The sequence below is a fragment of the Homo sapiens genome, chromosome 2 (assembly GCF_000001405.40).
Source record: "Homo sapiens chromosome 2, GRCh38.p14 Primary Assembly".
NCBI classification, from domain to species: Eukaryota; Metazoa; Chordata; class Mammalia; order Primates; family Hominidae; genus Homo; species Homo sapiens.
In genome coordinates this window covers 144,248,209-144,269,861 of record NC_000002.12, presented here as the reverse complement: position 1 = coordinate 144,269,861, position 21,653 = coordinate 144,248,209, and the positions used below count along the sequence as shown (strand labels likewise).

Sequence of the window (21,653 nt, the reverse complement as noted above, 5' to 3'; positions counted from 1 at the left end):
GGAAGTAGGTGGAATAGGTGAGTTTTTTTTTTTTACTAAATGAGGAAGTTGGATAGCATAGTAATTAAATGGGGTTTTTCCATGTGGACTGGACTAAAACTAGAGCTTCTAATTTCTAGTTTAGTGTTCTTTCCTTCTGGATCTTAGTCAGAATCAGGGAAATTTGGATTTTTCTGGCCCGTTGTATTTTTTTCTTAGGTCATTTTATTTTGGAATGTTTCATTAGAACCCCTTCCATATCTTGGAAAGCAAAAAAGAACCAACTGTATAAAATCAGTTATAATTGGTATCTTTGACCATAGATTTTTGGGGTGAGAAGGATAAAACTTGACCCAAATGATATTTTTGGATTATGTCTGTATTTATATATTATTTCTTTGGTGTAACATTTTACTATGCAAAAAATAAAAAAAGTTAAAAATTAACGATATCATTCACAGTTGTGAAATTAGGACAAAAGTTTTGGCAATTGAGGTACAAGCAGAATCTCTTTCTCTCCTCTTTTCTTTTGAAGAACTGCATCAAGCAACATCCTAGGACCCTTAAGATTCTTGGGGGAGTTTTACTCAGCTTCTCCCATTATGGTTTTTAGAATTATTATTATTTAAAAATGATTTTTTGGGATTATATTTTACTTTTAAATGAATTAAAAGTAACGGTGAATACTTATTTAAATCAAATATCAGTTAGCGTATATTATGAATGGAATCTCAAAAAGACATTTGTAACATCTTACGTAGATTTATATAGGCTTTAAGAAATGGAAACTTGGGGGCCGAGTGCAGTGGCTCCTGCCTGTGATCCCAGCACTTGGGGAGGCTGAGGCGGGCAGATCACCTGAGGTCAGGAGATCGGGACCACCCTGGCCAACATGATGAAACCTCATCTCTACAAAAATACAAAAATTAGGTGGGCATGATGGCAGGTGCCTGTAATCCCAGCTACTCGGGAGGCTGGGGCAGAAGGATCGCTTGAACCTGGGAGGTGGAGGTTGCAGTGAGCCGAGATCGTGCCATTGCACTCCAGCCTGGGTGACAGAGCGAGAGTCAAAAAACAAAAAAAAATGGAAATTTGGGGCCATTAGAAAGGAATGTTTACTTAATAATTATAACATAGCAATGTTATTTAACTGCTCTTTTTAGTAATATGTAATTTATTCACACAAAGGATACCTTGGTTTGCCTGTATTTTTTGGTCAGTTTAGGCTGTTATAACAAATACATCCTCAACTGGGTGGTTTAAACAACAGATATTTATTTCTTACAGTTCTGGAGACTGGGAAATCCAAGATCAAAGTGCTAGCAGATCCTTTGTCTGGTGAGGGCTTGCTTCCTGGTTAGCAGATGGCCACCTTCTCATTGTATTGCCACATAGAGAGCAGAGAGGAAGGAAATTCTTTGGCATCTTTTATAAGGGCACTAGCCCCATTCATGAGGGCTCCTCCCTCAAATCTTAAATACTCCTGCCTTAGTCTATTGTGCATTGCTATAAGGGAATACCTGAGCCTGGGTAATTTAGAAAGAAATGAGGTTTATTTGGCCCACGGTTCTGCAGGCTGTACAAGAAACATGGCACCAGCATCTGCTTCTGGTGAGGGCTTCAGGGAACTACCATTCATGGCAGAAGAAAGGGAGCAGGCATTAGAGGGAGGAAGAGAGAAGGGAGGAAACCATTAGGCTGTTTGTAACAATCAGTTCTTGTGGGGAATTTATAGAATGAGAACTCACTCATTACCATGAGAATGGCCACCCCCAAGCCATTCATGAGGGATCTGATTTCCTGATCCAAACTCCTCCCATCAGGCCCCACCTGCAACACCTCCAATACTACCAATATTGGAAATCAAATTTCAACATGATGTTTAGAGGGAACTAATATTCAAACTGTATCACCTCCCATTGGCCCCACCTTCAAATACCATCACACTGGGGATAAGGCTTTAACATAGGAATTTTGGGAGACAGAAACACTCAGTCCATAGCACTACAGTTGTTATTAAGTATAATGTATTGAAATACCTATTTAGAGCATGTGAATGAATTGTAATCAAAAGTTTAGATCGCTATTAGGGCTAACTCACCTCTCTCTCTTTTTGTCTTTCAGTTGCAGGAAAATTTTCATCTGTTTTACTACTTAAATATAACTTTCAGGAGATTTTTAAAAACCTAAGTCCTATTTCTCCTGTGGAAGTGTTAAAAATCCTAAGAAGCTTTCTTGAGATAAAGTTTGTCCCCTTTCAATTATTAAATGTGCTTTTCTCTTATCTGTGAATTTCACCTTCAGTTTACTGGCAACTGCTTTTTTGTGTTAGGATCATAGAATTATGATTAACTCCTTGCAATCTGGCTTTTGTCCCACCTCTGTACTGGAACTGCACTCGTGAAGGTCACTGGTGACCACATCTAGCCAAATGTAGAGGGTTATTTTTCTCAGTTCTCAATCTCCTTGACATGCTAATGTCACATGACCTTGGCTTTTCAGCTACATGAGCACTTTCCTTTGAAGTCTCTGCTGCCTACTCTTCTTCCTGTAATACCTGTCTCTGAGGTGTTAGGGTGGGTTTGTACTTTTCCTTTGCTAGGCGTTTACTTATTCCATTTTGAATCTTATAATAACTTTAGTTCTTCTTGTTTAGCATTTGTATCACAGATAAATCATAATTCTCACACTCTGATGGGTATTGCCGGTGATTCTCAGAGTTCTATTTCACATCATTGCCTATCACCTAAACTCTAGTCCTGCACTTTCATCTTAGAATAGATCCCAAATCATCTCCTTCAGATTATTTTTTTTTCCTCTAAATATCTGCATTTCTTTTAAAGAAGCATTCTCTTAATACCTTGACATTTTTAGTGTGGTGTCCTTTATGCTGTGTCCCTTACCTTCCAATACCTCTAATGTCCTTGAGCCTTTCCTGAAAATGTTTCCTAAAATTGCCCCATGTTCTTCATTTCTTTCTTTTCCCCAAAGTACTTTATAGTTTGTGAAACACTTACAAATGTATTTTTTTCTTGATTTAAAATAACCCATACAACAAATTTGTGAAGTAGGAAGGTCAGAGTTTATTAAATAAGTCTGCAGATGGGGACATATGTACCGAAAGTAGTAGTGACTTGCCTGAGTTATCATTGCTGGTTAAGGGTAAAGCCATTACTAAGGCCAAGGTAAAGTGAATTTAAGATTATACCTGTGCCCAAAGCAAGTGACTGTTGCAGTTTCCTCTTAAGAGATGTTTCAACTTCCAGTCCTCCTTTAATTCACTTTACTTACATTGCTAGATTAATGTTTGTAAAACCAATCACAGTAGCAGCTACTATCGATTGGTACAATGTCTCAGTCACTGATCTAGATATCATCTAATCTTCAAAACTACCATGCAAAGTAGATATTGTTGTATCTATAGGTAAAGAAAATTTTATGGATAAGGAAATTGAGGCTTACAGAAGTTAAATAACTTGCTAGTCATTAAGTGTGATGGGGCTGTGGGGTAGTGATTTCCACCCTGGCTCCCAAGCTCTGATTCTTTTTTACAACCACTTTTTGCCATTTTTCAAATTCTGGATGTTACCCCTCTTTCTAAGAACTTACTATTTCTTCATTTTGCTACTTAATCCTATTTACACCCCTTTATTAACCTTCTAGTATCTTCAGTAATTTGTTCATAAGTTTCCTTTCCATCATTTTCTCCAGTAACCCTCCACAGTGAACTCTGCTCTTGACCTTGTTCTCTTCTCACAATGACCTCATCTAGTCCTACTTTCTCACTTTCTTAGCTGGTTATTTTCTCCCTTTATAGAATTATTTCACCTCAAATTCTTTACGTATTCCAGCTCTTTACCTTCTACTTCTCAACTCTTAGTGAGCACTTAGAGCATACAGGGTGCCATGGTAGGAGCTGTGAATATAGATGAATGTGTGGGCCTTGTTGGAGAGGTGAGCAGTTGATGGAAGGAGTCAAACTGGATTCTCCACTCTGATTTGAGAGTGCTGGCAGAGGGTGGTGTGCCTAGGTTGCTAGGGATGTGATTAATTTTACCTGAGTAACTGAGGAAGATGTGAGTAAGAATGGACATTTGAGCTGTAACCTTAAAGGAAGAGGAGGAGGTCCTCAGTTAGAGAAGGGGTGGGAGGAGGGCATTCTTATTTTTTTATTTTTATTTTTTTGTTGAGACGGAGTCTCGCCCTGTTGCCAGGCTGGAGTGCAATGGTGTGATCTCGGCTCACTGCAACCTCCGCCTCCCGGGTTCAAGGGATTCTCTTGCTCAGCCTCCCGAGTAGCTGGAATTACAGGTGCGTGCCACCACCCCCGGCTAATTTTTTGTATTTTTATTAGAGACAGAGTTTCACCGTATTAGCGAGGATGGTCTCAATCTCCTGACCTCGTGATCTGCCCCCCTCAGCCTCCCAAAGTGCTGGGATTACAGGTGTGAGCCACCGCGCCTGACCGAGGGTATTCTTGAAAGAGGAAATATTGTATGAATACAGGAATGAAGTTACAGATATGTTTCCCATATTTTGTAATGTGAATGTTAAAGGCATTTGTTGCAAGGCCATGCAAAGTGGTGTATTGCTGCCAACAGGCCTCAAGTGACTGGACTTCCCTTGGTTGAATCATCCCAGTTCAAGGTCTGGTCTTTGACCTTATACTTTCAGACACCTGATTTGCTGAGCCCACTGGGAGTGGGTCTGTCTTAGGAGTGGGCTTGCATTAACCAAGATCTTGGAAACTGATACATGGATATCTATATATTTATATATGTTTGTCAGTGTGTCAGTTTATTAATTTCCAATGAGAAATACAACTGTCAAGTAGATTGGATTGCTTATCTTGACAAATCAGTACACTGCCTCCCTGTCTTCCTGTAGACAGGATTCTTGGGAAGCCAAGTTATTAATATGGAGGTCAATTGATTGAGAAATACAGCTGTCAAGTTTACCCAGCATTTCTGACCATTGCGCTCCTTCTCTCCTGGCAAGATACATGGGAAGTCACATTACTGGAAGACCACATTTGGAGCATGGAAAGAGATCCAGGAAGGATATTTGTTTTAAGAAGTATCTCTCACCTGAGTTAGCTTGAGGCAGTCTTACCCACTATAGGAATATCTTTGCCAAGGAAACCGTTATTGGAGTCAAGTCAGCCACCACTTTCCCTCTCATGGTAGCTTAGCTTGACCTTGTCAGCATTTGCCTAGGTGACTTCTTGGATTTCGTTCCTGACTAGCCTCACCCGTATTTCCCATAGCTTCTGGATGGGTGCATTCTCCTTTTAGATATGTTTAAATATTCTGTCAAGTTACAGGGAAGTCTCAAGAGCTAAGGAAGCAGGGGAATTTTCGTATCTCTGTTTTGATCCATGTGGTTTTAATTTTAAGTCACATTTCCTTATTTTCAGTTACTTGGGACCAAAATCAGGGCATGATAAATAGCCCCCTGAAAATATGAGATTTGGTGGTGGTGGGATGTGGGAAATAGGCTAGAAAGGAAAGTTGGAACCAGATGGTGAAGGATTTTGGGTGCCATACTAAAAGTTTCAAAGTATTCTCAATTCAATTCTCCTCCTCACCTCTCTAATTAGTTTTTTTTCCCCACAATAAGATTGTCTTTTCAGCTTTTAAGTTTTTGTTATCTGTATCCTACTATAGAATATGTGATATTGGCTCTCAGTGGACCCTTAGGAGATCATATAATTTATCCGCTTTGTGTTTTGACAAATAAATATTAGGTGTTATTATCTGCATTTTAAACATGAGGTACGAAGGCTTGCAGACTTAAGTTCTGCTTCTCTTCTTAGTTCAGGCTATTTCTACAGCTTCTTTTATCCCTCATTTGTTTTAGAAAAGGTATTTTTATTTTATTATATAGTGTATCTTTTTATATTATTATATAATGTTTCTATCATAGTGCTTATGTTCTATACATGAATAGCTCCCATTAATTAATTGTCATGTATCTGTCTCTTTTCTCTCTAGGTAGCTTGTCAGTTTTTTATATTTAGGTGGACCTCATACTTACTCTTTTTGCCTCTTATAGTGCCTAGCCCAGTTGAATTTCAAGCAATACTTAAGACAATAGAATAAAATTTTAAAGCTGGAAAGTATCTTGGTCTAGTGCAGTATTCTGATTTTCTCTTTTTTTGGAGACAAAGTCTCACTCTGTCACCCAGGCAGGAGTGCAATGGCACAATCTCGGCTCACTGCAACCTCTTCCTCTTGGTTCAAACAATTCTCCTGCCTCAGCCTCCCAAGTAGCTGGGATTACAGGCGTCTGCCATCAGATGCCTAGCTAATTTTTGTATTTTTAGTAGAGACAGGGTTTCACCATGTTGGCCAGGCTGGTCTTGAACTCCAGACCTCAGGTGATCCACCCACATGAAGCCAAGATTCAGAGCAGCTGTAATTTGCCATAGAGCACATGATTGGTAGAGCCATGACCAGGACCCAAATATAGTGACAACATGTCCAGACATCTTTGCACTATGGTACACTGTTTCTCTATTCACCTGAACGATGTTTTCCATAGGTGTAAAAGAGACCATCAGAGGTCACCCATATCAGTGTACAGTATCCAAAACCACTGTATTAAAACTTAAATTGGCAGCCTTTCTTGTTAGTCCTAGGAACAGTATAGTTTTAAATGTCTTAGATCTTATTGTGTTAGGTAAAAATTTGAGTGAAAAAAAAAAAAATGAAAGAGGGACATAGGGAAGGGAGCACATATCCTGAAAACTTGCTGTGTACCTGCCAAGCAGTAAGTGCTTTACATGTGTCAACTCGACTATGGAGATATGGGTCGTGAGCCATGGTCTACAGGCCTATGAAGACCATATTCTTCCCTCCCCTCCCCTCCCCTCCTCTGTCCTCCCTTCCCCTCCCCTCCCCTCTCCTCCCTTCCCCTCTCCTCCCTTCCCCTATCCCCTCCCCTCTTCCCTCTCCCCTCTCCCCTCTCCTCCCATCTCACCTGTCCTCCCATCTCCCCTCCCCTCCCTTCTCCTCTCCCCTCCCCTCTTCCCTTTCCCCGCTCCCCTCTCCCTGCTCCCCTCTCCCCTCTCCTCCCATCTCACCTCTCCTCCCATCTCCCCTCCCATTCCATCTCTGCTCTCCTCCCCTCCCCTCCCCTCTCCTCCCATCCCCTCCCCTCCCCTCCCTCTTCCCTCCCCTACCTTTCCCTTCCCCTCTCACCTCTCCTCCCATCTCCCCTCCCATTCCATCTCCCCTCCCCTCTCCCTCCCCTCCCTTCCTCTCCTATCTCCCCTCCCCTCCTCTCTCCCCTTTCATTTTTTTTTTTTTTTTGAGACAGCATCTTGCTCTGTCACCCAGGCTGGAGTGCAGTGGCATGATTGTAGCTCACTGCAGCCTCAAACTCCTGGGCTCAAGCTATCCTCCTGCCTCAGCCTCTTGAGTAGCTGAGGCTATAGGTGTGACCCATCACCCCCAGCTTATTTTTTAATTTTTAATTTTTAATTTTTTAGAGATAGTGTTTTGCTATGTTGCCCAGGCTGGTTTGGAACTCTTTGAATTGTGCTTCATTGTTACAGCCCTTGACCAAAGCCGGTAAGAACAGCATCTTGAATAGCAGGTACTACACTGGACTTCCTAATGAGGAGCACTCCAGCAGCCATCTTCCATTGTCTGTGGTAATGGTGGTAAATGTTGGTGCTGGAGCTGGGTGGCAGTGCCTGACTCACTAAATAACCTTACATTTTCTAACCATAGTTCATGGCTCATTTTTTTGACCTTTTATGTATATATCATTGTTGCCATTTCCATTCTGTGGGAGAAGAGCCATATTATAAGCCCACGTGTTTCTTCTGTCTACAATCTTACTTTCCATTTTGTTAATGCTCCTCCTTTCTTCTCTTTCTGCCTCCACCCTTTTTACTCTGGGTGTGGAGAGAAAATTGGATATGCTTGTATCAAAGTTACTTAAATGGATCAGTTTTAATTTTTTCCCCTCTGAATTCTTCTATGTTGATATGAAGAATCATAGGGCAAAAAATAAATAAATAAATAAATAAAAAGAAGGTGATACATAATCACATTGTCTTCCAGCAAAACAATTTTCAAAAATGGCAAGATATATGCAATTCATAACTTATATAAAGTTTATCATTCATATTTATGAAATCTGTGTTTTGGTGCTAAATGCACTTCAAGTTTCAAAGAATGGTTTTAAAAATACTTTTGAGTCGTCTCCCTGAGAACTTTCAACACTGTATAAATACTACACTTTTTAGCATTTCCTGTTGCATACCTGCAGTTTGCATCACCTTTGAGAATGCTTACCACTTTTTTGCAGGGCATATGTGGAGACTCAGCTAACAAATGTCATTATGTATGTGGGTTTCAAAAAGCAACTGGAGGAAATTATATTTAACGTTTTTGAAGAGTTGTTATCTGGGCTTTCCCCCATTTCAGAGCAAAACCAGGTGTAAACCAAGGACATGCATTGATATACATATTTTTGAAAAAAAAAATCTTTTTAGGTTTTGCTGGTTATTATTTTTGCTTAAATATCATCCCCCCCTCCCCGAAATTTAGAATGTTTCTGGTAAATAATTTAATCTGGTGGTTCCCATCACTTTATTCATTCAGTTAATTCTTAAAGATTGTTTCTTAAAAAGAGCAACACAGTTATGAGATGAGGAATTAGAAATAAGGCATTTGATTAAATGTGTTCTTAGGGAAAAATATGCTAAGAAGGCATTAGACTTTCCCCTTTATGCCAAAAAGCTTATTAGATTGGTAGGCTGTACAGAGGGAGGTAACTCAGGAGAATAGCGTGAAGTAGAAGATATTGAATAACAATAAAGCAGAGTGAGAGAAAACAGTTTTTTCTAGAATGGGAAGTATGGTTCCTTTTTCTCACTAGAAAGGCTCAAAACCTATGCCACTATGTTGAGATGCCATTTTTATTTATTTAGATTTTGCTTTAGTTTAAAGGTTGGAATAAGATGACCTCCTTTTTCTTTTTTTTTTAAATCTTATATCTACTGTATTACAAAAAAATTTATAGCATTCACTAAGTATGAATTAAATGTTTAAATTCTGTTAGTTGTATTTATGTTGTATTTATTCTTCCAGGTTTTATATTTTATGAGAACAATGCTTTTCATTTAGAACATAACATGTTTCATGTATGGTTTATAATTATCTAGTATAAGCTTTCTCTTATTAAGTGCCTAATGGCACTCACCTAAGTTTAATACAGTTTAATGTCTATTTTACTTCTACATAGTGGGCATTAGTTACTGATTGAATAAATGAGTGAATGAATGAATAAGTACAGAAATATGTGGGGGCATGTATGATTTGCTCTTCTGAGTCAGATTTATGATTTAAATAATATTGCCCTATCAAGCTCTTAAAATAAAGATTTGCATTAAATGATTATGTACTCACTATAAAAATTACAACCATTAAGGATAAAAAATTAAACAAATTCTACTACACATAAATAATCATTATATCTTGGAACATCACTTCAGATGTTTTCCCTCTTCTGCATACCCACACCCACAAATACCCACACACATACATATATTTATAGAGGGAGAACTAAGAAAAAAATGAAGGTGAAGCAGGAGTATCCTACATACTATTTTTGTTTAAATAAAAATGATGTTATTTCATTTGAACAGAAATGAAAGAAAATTAAAAGAATTACAGTAATTAAATAAGTGATTTTTTTACAATAAGGAATTCGCATTAAGTGTTTTCACTAAAGTTGAAAAAAACAATTATGAAAAAAGAGACTAGGATCATTTCATTTTAAAAGTTAACTACATATTATCTCATCAGTTTATTTCCTGCTGTGAAAAGTTAAAAATTAGCAGACTTTCTTTCTCCCACCTCCAAATTTTTATTAGTTATATTAAATTTGTAACTTGTCACGCTGTGCAACATTTGCATTCTATTTTATAATTAATTTTCACAGTTATTTAGTTTTAGTTTTATATTTAAAAGCATTCAGTGCTTACTAACTACTCTTTTATAATGGAAAATTGTCCTAAAATCCTGAGAGGTGTGGTCACTTAGAAAATTCCAGTCTGGGGAACCAATGCTCCCAAATAAATACCACTTTATTTTTGTTTTTTAAAAATAAATTTCTTTTCTTAGACCCTGAATTCCTGTAGAGTAAAATCAAATTGGCCTGTGCAGCTTAATTATAAAATAACAATTTTGTGTTTTAGTTTAAGTGTAATCCTTCAGATGTAAGAGTTTTATTTTCTTTTAGTTGTATATTTTTTAAAAGATTGGCGGATTATTTGTTCCTGAATAGCAAAACCCCAGAATGCTTGGTCGCTCGCCAAAAGAGTCATTACTGTTAGGTTGGTGCAAAAGTCATTGCGGTTTTTGCCATGGAAGTAATAAATCCAGTTGGCTTCATAAAAGCAGAGATCCTACTGGGCGGGGTGGCTCATGCCTGTAATCCCAGCACTTTGAGAGGCTGAGGTGGGTGGATCACTTGAGATCAGAAGTTTGAGACCAGCCTGGCTAACATGATGAAACCCCGTCTCTACCAAAAGTACAAAAATTAGCAAGGTGAGGTGACGTGTGTCTGTAATCCCAGCTTCTGAGGAGGCTGAGGCGAGAGGATTACTTGAACCCAGGAGGTAGAGGCTGCAGTGAGCTGAGATTGTGCCACTGCACTCCAGCCTGGGCGACACAGTGAGACTCTGTCTCAAAACAAAATACAAACAAAAAAGCAAGAGGTCTAGTTGCTATTTCACAGGACATTCAGAGACTATTGGAAATGTCACTTCTGGTGTACCTGCTGACATCCACTGACTGTCCTATCTCTGGATGATCAGAAAAGGAATAACTTGTTTCTTTGGGGTACCTGTGGCTGTAGGAACAATTCTCCCTAAATTATTCTGTTAGAATTTAGTATACCTTTTTATTCTTCTTTTCTTTTTACTTGATAATGGGAGGTAGCATTAAAGCAGCCTTGTTTATTATTCATACCCTGTCATGATTACTTTCTGTAAAAACCATTCATTCTGAGGACAAACAAGCTATTCTATGTCCATCCTGCAAAAATAAATTTAGTCTTTATACTAACACATATCTCCATTTCTTTATTTTTTTTTACTCTTTAGTTTGATTCATTTCTTAGCTGGCTGAATTTGATAGTTCTCCCTTTTGGTTATGTCTATATCTATATACTTATATGTCTGTCCTTATGTGTATACACTTCTTAAGAAGAGCTTATGGATGTTGTATTTTCTGAGTAATTGGATGCTTGAAAGTGTTTGTAGGTTGCTTTTAAGCTTTATGGTCAATTTGGCTGGGTATCACATAACTGGATTTCATATCTTTGCCTTACAACTCTGAAAGACGTTGCCTGACCATCTCCAGATAATGGTGACTGATGGTAATATAGAGAAGTCTAAGGCCAGAATTGATTTTCTTACCTTGATAACCTAAGGAATTCATGTTTATGTTTTATCTCTCTTGAATTCCGTAACATCAGAAAAATTTGTTTTAGTGTTAATTACTTTGAATTCAGTTTTTCTGGAATGGTTTCTTTTGTTAGTATTTCCTTTCTTCTCCCTAAGTAAAAGTTTTCTTTTATTATATCTTTCCTTTTTTTTCCTCTTTCATTTGTTCTGCTGTTTTTTGTTTTTGTTTTTTTTTTGCAAGAATGTTAAGTATGTATTAACTGGGTATCTTTTTACCTTCTATACTTATCTCTTATATATCTTTGTATTTCCATTTCATCATTTTTTTAATGCCTGTCCCTTCTTTTTCTGACTGTTTCAGTACTGAATATTCTGTTTTGTTGTTGTCACTTCATTGGTGGCTTTAATCTATGATTTTTCCTCCCAGTCTTCACCCTTAGCCTGCCAACTCGCTTTTCATCTCCTTTAGTTGTCTTATCTTTTCTTAGATATTTCATAATTTTCTTTGAACCCCTTTACTTTGAAGTAGCTTATATTCTTTATCACTTCTTTTAGACTGGAAATTATTTGTATGATTTTTCTGTCTCTGTTGACAGTTTTTTTCTTAATCTGCCATTTGCCTATGTTTCTCCACCCCAGTTTTTGGTAGTTCTGTGTAATTTCTTTGCTGATTTATTTCTGGTTGTTACTCATTTTTGAATAGGATCAATTTCATTAAGGACAGATATTGCCTGAAAAAAGTGTGATGTTAGATGCATGTATTGAGTATTAGGGAGAGGGGTTAAATGAAGTGCAAGTGATAAATTTGCACTTCTATTTGGGTTATCTCAAATACTCCATCACCCAAGATATTTCTTTTCTTTGAGGGACATGTCTCACCTCAGTTTGTAGTACTGTAAAGGTCACTGTGCCATTGAGGCCCACGAGTCATAGGAGCCTATGTAGTAAGTAGTCTAGTGATAGCTGTGTCCCTCTCTTTGACCCCTTTTGGCAGTCATTCTGAGCTAGGAAGCTAGGTCATTGACAATAAGAATGTCTTGTTTTGTTTTTTTTTTCTCTCTCCTTCTGTGGTATAGACATGTTTTCTGGAGAAACCTTTCCTATTCTCTCCTAGGTAGAAACTTAATATCATAACTCCAATTAGAGTTTACTGGAATGGGCTTTAGAACCATTCAAATTTTAGGGAAATCTTTATTCTGCTTGAGTTCTTAGGGAGTGCAGATAGGCTCTCAGGATTATTTCTCATTTTGATTCCAGATATTGCATAATTTGGCAGATTTTTAAAAATAGTTTGTGGTTTGTGGTTATGGCTGTGTCTTTGTTTTATTGATGAAGTGCTCATTACTTTTGTTCTGGTTTTTTTTTTTTTTCAGTTTGTTTCTGGAGTAGAGACTGTCTTCTGCTCATCTTTAAAAAATTTTTTTAGTTTATTTGCTATCACTGTATTCTTAAGAACATAGTAGTAAAATATCCTGATATTAGACTTTACTTTTTGTTTTTGAAACAAGATGTCTGTATTAAGCTCATTTAATATTTAGTGTATTTACAACTTGGCAACTCCTTTTAAAGAGATTTTTTTTTTTAACTTTAAGTTCTGGGATACATGTGCTGAATGTGTGGGTTTGTTACATAGGTGTACATGTGCCATGGTGGTTTGCTGCATCTGTCAACCCGTCATCTAGGTTTTAAGCCCTGCATGCATTAGGTATTTTTCCTAATGCCTTTCCCTCCCTTTTCCTCCCCTTTCCCTCCACCCGCCGATGGGCCCCTGTGTGTGATGTTCCCCTCCCTGTGTCTATGTGTTCTTTTTGTTCAACTCCCACTAATGAGTGAGAACATGCAACGTTTGGTTTTCTATTCCTGTGTTAGTTTGCTGAGGATGATGGTTTCCAGCTTCATTCATGTCCCTGCAAAGGACATGAACTCATTCTTTTTTATGGCAGCTCTTAATAATTTTTTATATTGAGAGGTCTTTATGCATGAATTTTTAAAATATATTCGGAGAGAAAAGCAATAAATATCAAGAGATTGAATGAAGAAATCAATTATATGTAATATGGTAAAACTGCAGAGTTAATACATATTGGTGAACATTGGCTGCTTGGTGTATAAGTATCTTTATTGGCATTGGGGACATAATCTTTTGAAACCGTCATTGTAAAAGTGAAGTGACATTGTAAAACTTCATATTTTGACAATAAGAACTGCTTCTCAACATGGGAAGCCTGTCGAATTTCTCATAAAATCACATATGATCAGCTTCTCTTGGAGAACTATATTTTTCAAAGAATCTGATATGTTTTAAGGAAAAGGTGCATTTTTTTTTGTTGTTGTTATATGAGCAGGAGAACCATTGCATTACATTTAGTATTAAACTGCACACACCAGAACCTGGACTTTATTTTAGAAATAACTTATCATATGTAATTAATTTAAAAATAATTAATAGACTTTATTTTTTAAGAACTGTTTTAGGTCCAGAGCAAAACTGAATAGGAAATATAGAGGATAGTCCCCTTCAGCCTTCCCCCAACCATCAACCTCCCCCACCCCAGTGGTGTGTGTTTGTTACAATAGACGAACCAATATTTATACATCATTATCAACCAAAGGCCTAAAATTCAGTTTTGCTCTTTGTGTTACACCTTCTATGCATTTTGACAAACAGTATAATGACATGTATTCACCCTTGTGGTATCATACAACATAGTTTTAATGCCCTAAAAATCCTCTGTGGTTTACCTGTTCATCCCTTCTTCTCTCCCTCCTTCAGAATCCCTGGTAACAACTGATCCTGTCTGTATACTTTTATCTTTTCCAGAATGTTTTGTAGTTGCAATCTTACAACTTTTGCAACCTTGTCAGATTAACTTCTTTCACTTAGCAATATATGTTTCTTGTATTAGTTCACTCTCATGCTGCTATGAAGAAATACCCGAGACTGGGTAATTTATAAAGGAAAGAGGTTTAATTGACTCACAGTTCCATATGGCTGGAGAGGCGTCAGGAAAACAACCATGGCGGAAACCAAAGCAAACTTGTCCTTCACATCACGGCCAAAGAGAGAAGTGCCAAGCAAAGGGGGAAAAGCTCCTTATAAAACCATCAGATCTTTTGAGAACTCACTCACTATCATAAGAACAGCATGGGGGTAACTGCCCTCATGATTCAATTACCTCCCACCAGGCCCCTCCCATGGCACATAGGGATAATGAGAACTACAATTCAAGATGAGATTTGGGTGGGGATACAGCCAAATCATATCATTTTGCCCCTGGCCCCTCCCAAATCTTCTATCCTCACATTTCAAAACACAATCATGCCTTTCCAACAGTCCACCAAAGTCTTAGCTCATTCCATCATTAACTCAGAAGTCCAAGTCCAAAGTCTCATCTGAGACAAAGCAAGTCCTGTCTGCCTATGAGCCCATGAAATTAAAAGCAAGTTAGTTACTTCCTAGTTACAGTGGGGTTACAGGCATTGGGTAAATACACCCATTCCAAATGGGTGAAACTGGCCAAAACAAAGGGGCTACAGGCCCCATGCAAGTCTGAAATGCAATAGAGCAGTCATTAAACCTTAAAGTTGCAAAATGATTCTCTTTGACTCCATGTCTCACATCCAGGTCACACTGATGCAAGAGCTGGGCTTCTGTGGCCTTGGGCAGCTCTGCCCCTGTGGCTTTGCAGGGTACAGCTTCCCTCCCGACTGCTTCCATGGGCTCGTGTTTAGTGTCTGTGGCTTTTCTAGGTACACAGTGCAAGCTGTTGCTAGATCTCCCATTTTGGGGTGGGGTCTGGAGGATGGTGGTGCTCTTCTTACAGCTCCACTAGGCAGTGCCCCAGTGGGGACTTTGTGTGGGCCTCCAATTCCATATTTCTCTTCCCCACTGCCAAAGCAGAAGTTCTCCATGAGTGCTCCACCCCTGCAGCAATCTTCTGCCTGGACATCCAGGTGTTTCCATGCATCTTCTGAAATATAGGTGGAGGTTCCCAAACCTTAATTCCTTTTTGTATTTTATTTATTTATTTATTTAGAGACAGAGTCTCACCCTGTCACCCAGGCTGGAGTGCAATGGCATGATCTCAGCTCACTGCAACCTCTGCCTCCTGGATTCAAACGATTCTCCTGCCTCAGCCTCCCAAGTAGCTGGGATTACAGGCGCCCACAACCACACCCAACTAATTTTTGTATTTTTAGTAGAGATGGGGTTTCACCACTTTGGCCAGGCTGGTCTTGAACTCCTGACCTCAGGTGATCTGCTCGTCTTGGCCTCCCAAAGTGCTGGGATTACAGGCATGAGCCACTGCACCTGGCCTCAAACGTTAATTCTTGACTTTTGTGCACCCATGGGACCAACATTACGTGGAAGCTACCAAGGCTGGGGCTTGCACCCTGTGAAGCAACAGCCTGAGCTGTGCATTGGCCCCTTTTAGCCATGGCTGGAGCAGCTGGGACACAGGCCGCCAATTCTTGAGGCTGCACACAGCAGGGAGCAGGAGTTTGGACCCAGCCCAGGAAACCATTTTTCCCTCCTAGGCCTCTGGGCCTGTGATGGAAGGGGCTATTGAGAAGGTCTCTAACATGCCCTGGAGACATTTTCCCCTGTCTTGGTTATTAGCATTTGGCTCCTTGTTACTTACGAAAATTTCTGCAGCTGGTTTGAATTTTTCCCTAGAAAATGTTTTTTTTTTTTTCTACTTCATTGTTAGGCTGCAAATTTTCCAAACTTTTATGCTCTGTCACCTCTTGAATGCTTTGGTGCTTAGAAATTTCTTCTGCCAGATACCCAGATCATCTCACTCAAGTTCTAAGTCTCACAGATGTCTAGGGCAGGGACAAAATGCTACCAGTCTCTTGGCATGGCAAGAGTGAACTTTACTCTATTTCCCAACAAGTTCCTCATCTCCATCTGAGACCACCTCAACCTGGACTTCATTGTCTGTATCGCTATCAGCATTTTGGCCAAAGACATTCAACAAGTCTCTAGGAAGTTCCAAACTTTCCCACATTTTCCTGTCTTCTTCTGAGCCCTCCAAACTGTTCCAACCTCTGCTTGTTACCCAATTCCAAAGTCGTTTCCACATTTTCTGCTGTCTTTATAGCAGCACCCCACTATCCTGGTACTAATTTACTGCATTAGTTTGCTTTCATGCTGCTATGAAGAAATACCCAAGACTGGGTAATTTATAAAGGAAAGAGATTTAATTGACTCACTGTTCTGCATGGCTGGGGAGGCCTCAGGAGAACCATTATGGCGGAAGGCGAAACAAATATGTCCTTCACATGGCAGCAGGAGAGAGAAGTGCCAAGCAAAGGGGGAAAAGCTCCTTATAAAACCATTAGATCTTTTGACAACTCACTATCATGAGAACAGCATGGGGGTGACCACTCCCATGATTCAATTACCTCCCACCAGGCTCCTCCCACAACATGTGGGGATTATGGGAACTATAATTCAAGATGAGATTTAGTTGAGAGCACAGCCAAACCATATCATTTCTCCGTGTCTTTTTGTGGTTTGAGAGCTCATTTCTTTTTAGCACTAAGTAATATTCCATTGTATGGATATACCACAGTTTGTTTATCCATTCACTTTTTGGAGGACATTTTGGCCACTTCCAAGTTTTGGCAGTTCTGAGTAAAACTGATATAAACATTTGCATGCAGGTTTTTGCATGTATGTAAGTTTTCTACTCATTTGGATAAATATCAAGAAGCACAGTTGCTGGATTGCATGGTAAGAGCATGTTAAATTTTGTAGGAACTGCAAAACTGTTATCCAAAGTGGCTATACCATTTTGTAGTTTCAACAAAAAGGAGCAGTGGTGAGCAATGTTCTTTTTGCTCTACATTGTCTTTAGTAATTGGTGTTGTCAGTTGTTATTGTTTTGGATTTTAGCTATTCTGATAAGTATGTAGTGCTATCTCAGTGTTTCATTTTGTGATTTCCTATTAACGTGATATTTGGGCATCTTTTCATATGCTTATTTGTCATTTGTGTATCATCTTTGGTGAAGTGTTTGTTCAGAGCTTTTGCCCCCCCTTACTTTTTATTTTATTTTATTTTATTTTAAAAGACACAGGGTCTTGCTCTTTCACCCAGGCTGGACTGAGTGCAGTGTCATGATTCTAGCTCACTGCAGCCTCAAATTCCTGGGCTCCAGTGATTCTTTTGCCTCTGCTTCCCCAATAACTGGGACTACAGGTGTGTGTCATTGTGCTTGGCTAATCTTTTTTCAAATTTATTCTTTGTAGAGACAGGGTCTTGCTTTGTTGCCCAGGCTTGTCTTAGACTTCTCACTTCAAGCATTCCTCCTGCCTTGGCCTCCCAAAATTCTGGGATTACAAGTCTGAGCCACTGTGGCCTGCTTATATGTCCATTAAATAATTGTATTTTTAATGTTACACATTAAAAAAAAAACATAGAGGCAGGTTCTCACTGTGTTGCCTAGGCTGGTCTCCAACTCCTGCCCTCAAGCAGTCCTTCCACCTCCACCTCCCAAAGTGCTGGGATTACAAGTGTGAGCCAGTGCACCTGGCCTTGCCCATTTTTAATTGCTTGTTTACTTATTATTGAGTTTTAAGAGTTTTAAAAAATATATTTTAGCTAACAGTCCTTTATCAGATATGTATTTTGAAAATATTTTCTCTCAGTCTGTGACTTGTCTTCTTATTCTCTTGAGAGTGTCTTTCACAGAGCAGAAGTTTTTCATTTTAATGAAGTTGAGCTTAACAACTTTTTTTTTGTCATGGATCATGTTTTTGGTGTTATATCTAAAAAGTCACTGCAAAACCCAAGATCATCTAATTTCTTTTATTTCTCTTCTAGTAGGTTTATAGTTTTATGTTTTATGTTTAGGTTTATGATCTATTTTGAGTTAATTTCTGTAAAGTATATTGTAAGGTCTTCATTATGATCTATTTTTTGTTAATTTTTGTAAAGTATATTGTAAGGTCTTCATCTAGATTCATTTTTTTCTACATGTAGATGTCCAGTTGTTCCAACATCATTTATTGGAGACTCTCCTTTCTCCATTGAATTGCCTTTGCTCCTTTGTCAAGTATCAGTTGACTATATTTGTGTGCGTCTATTTCTGAGCTCTCTCTTCTGTTCCATTGATCTATTTGTCTGTTTCACCATACCCACTGTCTTGATTACTGTGTAATTAATTTTTAAAATAATAATTAGTAAACTAAGTGTTAAGATTTGAGAAACAAGTTATCTCAAGCCAATTTCTGTTAAGTATGAGATAATGTGATGTTTTTTAAAAAATACATTATTTGTAATTATTTTAGCAAAATTTGTATGCAGCGGAAACAGTGTCACAATGGAAATAAAGAAAATGGTAATATTTCCACTTTAAAAGAACTACTTTTATACAAAGTGGCTCATTTTGGGTTCAAAATGGCTCATTATAAGTTCATTTTAAACTTATAATGTTTTAACTTATAAAATTTTAACTTTTAAAATTTTACATTTTTAAAACTTAAATGACAGTTTAAAAAGTTTCTTTTAATCTTCTAAAATAATATTGTTTGGAACTTGCTGCTTTTTTTTACTAAGAAAGAAAAGATAACTACTTTTCTGAAGTGTTGCGTGGTGTAAGTCAGTGTCTAATAAGCACATTTGTGAAATGAATTGAGCTAGATATTGGGGAATGCTAATAAATACATGGCACAGGTTTTTTTTTTTTTTTTTTTTTCGGCCTTAAAGAGCAATTCAGGAAAATTAACCAGTAATATAAAGTAATGTGTAGTAAGCATAGTGTGGATGGCAGTGTGTTGATCTCACTAAGAGGTTAGTATGTCTGGTAAGTGTAAAGTAATACTTTCACACAGCTGGTTTTTACTCATGGTATGTTTAACCTTGTGTCAGAAACGTAACAAATTTACATAAAAGTTTTTAGGAAATTATAATGATTATCAGATATAATCAACTGTTATGATATATTTTTATATCAATTTTATCCAGGTCTAAATTACTTAAACTACCCATTTTAAATGGCAGTGTGGGCTAGGCATGGTGGCTCGTGCTTGTAATCTCAGCACTTTGGGAGGCTGAGGTGGGCAGGCACATGAGTTCAGGAGTGCAAGACCAGCCTGGTCAACATGGTAAAACCCTGTCTCTACTAAAAATACAAAAATTAGCTGGGCATGATGGTGCATGCCTGTAAACCCAGCTACTTGGGAGGCTGAGGCAGGAGAATCGCTGGAACCTGGGAGGTGGAGGCTGCGGTGAGCCAAGATACCAATATGGCTCCATTCCACTCCAGCCTGGGCGACAGAGCGAGACTCCATCTCACAAAAACAAAAACAAACAAAAAAAAAAAACACAAAAACCACGGCAGTGTGATAAGTTTTGATAAAAGAATACAGCTTTACAACCACCACCACATTTATGATTTGTTTATTGCTGTCACCCCAGAGAGATCTCTTGTGTCCTCTTGAAATCAGTCTCCCATCTCTGTTCCCAGACAATTGCTGATCTGCTTTCTATATTTTAGATTGGTTTACATTTTCTAGAATTCTTAAGAATGTATTTTGCTTACTGTAGAGGATATATTTTTCGAAAATTGATGGTAAAGTGAATTTTTGTAAAATAAACCTTATGTTTTATTATCTTAAAATTTCTAAGATGCTCATATAAAGTTCAGTTGGTATTATCCCTGACATTTTTGGTTTTGAGTTTTCTGCGTTGTCCACTCTCTGTAATAATTTAAATCTGGATTACATATAACAATATGTAAAACCAACTGATGGCACATTATATTGTAAAGCAAGGTATCCTTTTGCAGTTACCTCCCTCCTTGTTTATTTTTAATGTTGATTAACAATTTGAAGAATAAAAGTGTACAGATCCTATTGTATTCATAGACTTTAATTCAGTCCTTTTTCCATATAATTGTCACTCAGTAGACAGTGTAACCTCAATCTGTAAAAGGCCATTTGCCTTGTCCTTATGCCCTCCTGCTCAGACCTCTGGGGATGGGAAAGTGAGGGTGGATAAATAGCTCTTTACTTCATAACATTCTGTTCTCTGTGACTCCTCTTACACATGCATGGTCTATTCTGAAAGCGTGCTGAAAAGTAGCTGTTGATCTCATGGATAAAACAGCCCCACTAGGATGGGATAGTAGAATCTTTTTATGATTTTTAAAATAAAATGTACTGATTGTTCATACCTTCATACAGAAAAGAGTTAATCCTTTGCATACAAAAATGAGCGTTTTCTGGTTTTGCCCAGAAAAGTTCTGTTTCTAGAATTTGTGCTGCGTCATTTATTAATCATTTTGAAACTAGATCTAAATAAAAACCAAACATTATGAAAGTCATGTTTGCTCCACTAAACATTTAAATTTCGACTTCATTTGGAAATCCTACACTCACATAAAGAGAAATAATCCTAATCCAAATTTATCTATAGTCAAACTGTGGGTAAGTAATGTTCTAAAAACTGAATTCTTAAGTAAATGTCATTTTGGGGTGATAAACATGGATCTGTTAAGAAATCCTGAAGGTCTACATTTGAACACTGCCCCACTGAAGGCTTCAGACAAAGGACAAAATGTTTCAGGAGTCAGTTTGAGAGACAGTATATGTGAGATGAGACTGAAGAACAATCAGAGCGACCAACCTGAGATCTTATATTTTATATGACTATTATCCCTCTCAAAACTAATCAGTCAATACTCTGTTTTTTTTTTTTAAGTTAAAAAAAGACTTTACTCAGATTGTTTTTGGAATTTCCTCATTTTAGGGGATTGTCTTCAGAAGCACAGACATATCCCATTCAGCCTACACTGAATGGTGGGTTAGACACTGTCCTGTCTTCAGCAGGGTAAGTCAGATGCAAGAACAGACATAAACAGTTACCTGCGATACAAAGCAGGTTGTGCAGCTGTGCTGATAGTGGCATGTGTAAACTGCATTGGGAGGGAGGAGTTAATTCTAGCTTGGCCATCATTAGGTGACGCTATTTAAATAGCGCCATGAGTGATGAGTTGCATTACAATTTTAATTTATTTTCTTTGTGTTTCTGAAGCTGCATTTACTTTAGAAAATTCAGCAAACCAGAAAAGCACAGAGAGAAAAAAATTCTAAAATTACCATTCATATTTTCATGTATATTTCATTGTTTTGTTCTTAGCTGTTTTTGACCTGTCATTTTTTTATTTTATAATATGAACATTTCTCCATGTCCACTAAATATTTTTCTACAGCATCATTTAAAATGACTACATAGTCT

The 21,653-nt window shown here is 38.0% G+C and overlaps 1 protein-coding gene across 59 annotated transcripts in view, besides 2 other annotated features; it reads left to right on the top strand.

Moving 5' to 3' along the window:
• Positions 1-21,653, top strand: part of QTMAN (queuosine-tRNA mannosyltransferase) — a 395,002-nt gene that overhangs the window by 63,208 nt on the left and 310,141 nt on the right. The window contains exon 2 of one of the 59 annotated variants that reach the window (NR_164806.2): positions 21,165-21,245. The exons of 56 other annotated variants lie outside the window; for them this stretch is intronic. The gene's annotated coding sequence lies outside the window, so the exon portion shown is untranslated. Of the gene's footprint in view, positions 1-4,193; positions 4,291-21,162; positions 21,246-21,653 lie in introns of those variants that run through there. 2 more of the 59 variants (NM_001376309.2, NR_148872.2) reach the window with 2 other exon arrangements.
• Positions 1,201-1,983: an enhancer, noted in NCBI's record as "OCT4-NANOG-H3K27ac hESC enhancer chr2:145025446-145026228 (GRCh37/hg19 assembly coordinates)". NCBI's record gives its function as "activates a minimal SCP1, AML or CMV promoter by ChIP-STARR-seq in naive H9 embryonic stem cells {active_cell/tissue: H9 hESC(naive)}" and the evidence as "EXISTENCE:reporter gene assay evidence [ECO:0000049][PMID:30033119]".
• Positions 15,214-15,414: a silencer, noted in NCBI's record as "peak3893 fragment used in MPRA reporter construct". NCBI's record gives its function as "represses an SCP1 promoter by STARR-seq MPRAs in K562 erythroleukemia cells {active_cell/tissue: K562}" and the evidence as "EXISTENCE:reporter gene assay evidence [ECO:0000049][PMID:32103011]".